The following is a 2,616-nucleotide window of genomic DNA, read 5'->3' on the forward strand; positions in this document are numbered from 1 at the left end:
GAGTTCCTTGTGTATTTGGAATATTAACCCCTGGTCAGATGTATAGTGTATTAGTCCATTTTCATGCTGCTGATAAAGACATACTCGAGACAGGGCATTTACAAAAGAAAGAGGTTTATTGGACTTACAGTTCCACATGGCTGGGGAGGCCTCACAATCATGGTGGAAGGTGAAAGGCACATCTCACATGGCAGCAGACAAGAGAAGAGAGCTTGTGCAGGGAAACTCCCATTTTTATAAAACCATCAGATCTCATGAGACTCATTCACTATCACAAGAATAGCACAGAAAGACCCACCCCCATGATTCAATTACCTCCCAACAGATCCCTCCCACAACAGGTGGGAATTCAAGATGAGATTTGGGTGGGGACACAGCCAAACCATATCACATGGTTTGCAGACACTTTCTCCAAGTCCATAGGTCACCTTTTCACTCTGCTCGTTGCCTCCTTTGCTGCACAGAGGCTTTTGGGTTTGATGCAATCCTGCTTGTCTCTTTTTGCTTTCACTGCCTGTGCTTTTAGGACTTATCCAAGAAGTCACTACCAAGACCAATGCAACAGAGTTTTTCTCCTGTTTTCTTCTAGAAGTTTTATACTTTCAGGTCTTATGCTACGCCTTTAATCCATTTTGAGTTTATTTTTGTGTATGGTGTAAGATAAGCCTCACACCTACTAAGATGGCCATTATCAAGAAACAGAAGGTAGCAAGTGTTGGTGAGGAGGAGGAGATATTGAAGCCACTGTGCACTGTTGGCAGGAACGTAAAATGGTGCACCCGCTATGGAATGTAAAATGGTGCACCTGCTGTGGAATGTAAAATGGTTCACCCATTATGGAATGTAAAATGGTTCACCCGCTATGGAATGTAAAATTGTTCACCCGCTATGGAATGTAAAATTGTTCACCCGCTATGAAATGTAAAATGGTTCACCCATTATGGAATGTAAAATGGTTCACTCACTATGCAATATAAAATGGTGCACCCGCTATGGAATATAAAATGGTTCACCTGCTATGGAATGTAAAATGGTTCACCCGCTATGGAATGTAAAATGGTTCACCCGCTATGGAATGTAAAATAGTTCACCCGCTATGAAATGTAAAATGGTTCACCCATTATGGAATGTAAAATGGTTCACCCGCTATGGAATGTAAAATGGTTCACCCGCTATGGAATGTAAAATGGTTCACCCGCTATGGAATGTAAAATGGTTCACCCACTATGGAATGTAAAATGGTTCACCCGCTATGGAATGTAAAATGGTTCACCCGCTATGGAATGTAAAATTGTTCACCCGCTATGGAATGTAAAATGGTTCACTTGCTATGGAATGTAAAATGGTGCACCCACTATGGAATGTAAAATGGTTCACCCGCTATAGAATGTAAAATTGTTCACCCGCTATGGAATGTAAAATGGTTCACCCACTATGGAATGTAAAATGGTTCACCCACTATGGAATGTAAAATGGTTCACCCACTATGGAATGTAAAATTGTTCACCCGCTATGGAATGTAAAATGGTTCACTTGCTATGGAATGTAAAATGGTGCACCCACTATGAAATGTAAAATGGTTCACCCACTATGGAATGTAAAATTGTTCACCTGCTATGGAATGTAAAATGGTGCACCCACTATGCAATATAAAATGGTGCACCTGCTGTGGAATGTAAAATGGTTCACCCACTATGGAAAACAGCATGGAGGTTCCTCAAAGCCTTAAAAACAGAACTGCCATATGCTCCAGCAATCCCACTTCTAAGTATTCATCAGAAAAAAAAATGAAAACAGGATCTCCAAGAAGTATCTACACTGTGTTCATTGCAGCATTATATGCAATGGCCAAGAGGTGGAGGCAATCTAAATGGCCACTGGGAAGTGAATGGATAAAGAAAGTGTATACACAAATAATGGAATATCATTCCACCTTTTAAAAGGGGCACCCTGTCACATGCTACAATACAGATTAACCTTGAGGACATTATACTAAGTGAAATAAGCCAGTCACAAAATGACAAATACTGTATGAGTCTACCTATATGAGGTCTCTAAAACAGTCAAACTTATAGACACAGAGACTAGAATAGTGGTTGCCAGGGGTTGGGGGAGGAACGTGGAGAGTTTCAGCCACGTGAGATGGAAGAGCCCTGGAGGCGTGCTGTACAGCCCCATGTATGTAATTAGCAATACTATGCCATGTTGCAAACATCTAGTATGAGGGCAACTTCATGTTATGTGTTTCTCTTACCACAATAAAAATTAAAAATTTAAAAATTTAAAATTAGTGGTTAATGAAGATGACAGAGAGAAAGGGTTATTAGAAATCTTTCATAAGGGGATATTTTAGGAAGATCCTTCTAAGTGCTCAGCTCACCTTACAAAAAAAAGAGCAGGTTCCAGAAGAGTGTTTGGTGGAACCACATTTTCTGCTCTCTCAGAGGCCTTGGTGGCTGCCAATGCCCCCACCCAGTGGCCATCATAAAGGCCTCCTCTCTCCAGTATTTTTGCACCCTTTTACATTTTTGGTGTCTCCTTCCTCTTAGAATCAGCCCTTTCTCTGGCTCCTGTGACAGTCCCCAGTCCTGTTCGCTGCTGTCTTCTATTCCCCAT

The 2,616-nt window shown here is 41.2% G+C and overlaps 1 annotated feature.

The window, feature by feature from the left end:
• Positions 747-1,946: an enhancer, noted in NCBI's record as "BRD4-independent group 4 enhancer chr18:76610953-76612152 (GRCh37/hg19 assembly coordinates)". NCBI's record gives its function as "activates an origin of replication core promoter dependent on BRD2, P300/CBP, MED14 and CDK7 cofactors, and independent of BRD4, by STARR-seq in HCT116 cells {active_cell/tissue: HCT116}" and the evidence as "EXISTENCE:reporter gene assay evidence [ECO:0000049][PMID:35650434]".

The sequence above is a fragment of the Homo sapiens genome, chromosome 18 (assembly GCF_000001405.40).
Source record: "Homo sapiens chromosome 18, GRCh38.p14 Primary Assembly".
Taxonomy (NCBI): Eukaryota; Metazoa; Chordata; class Mammalia; order Primates; family Hominidae; genus Homo; species Homo sapiens.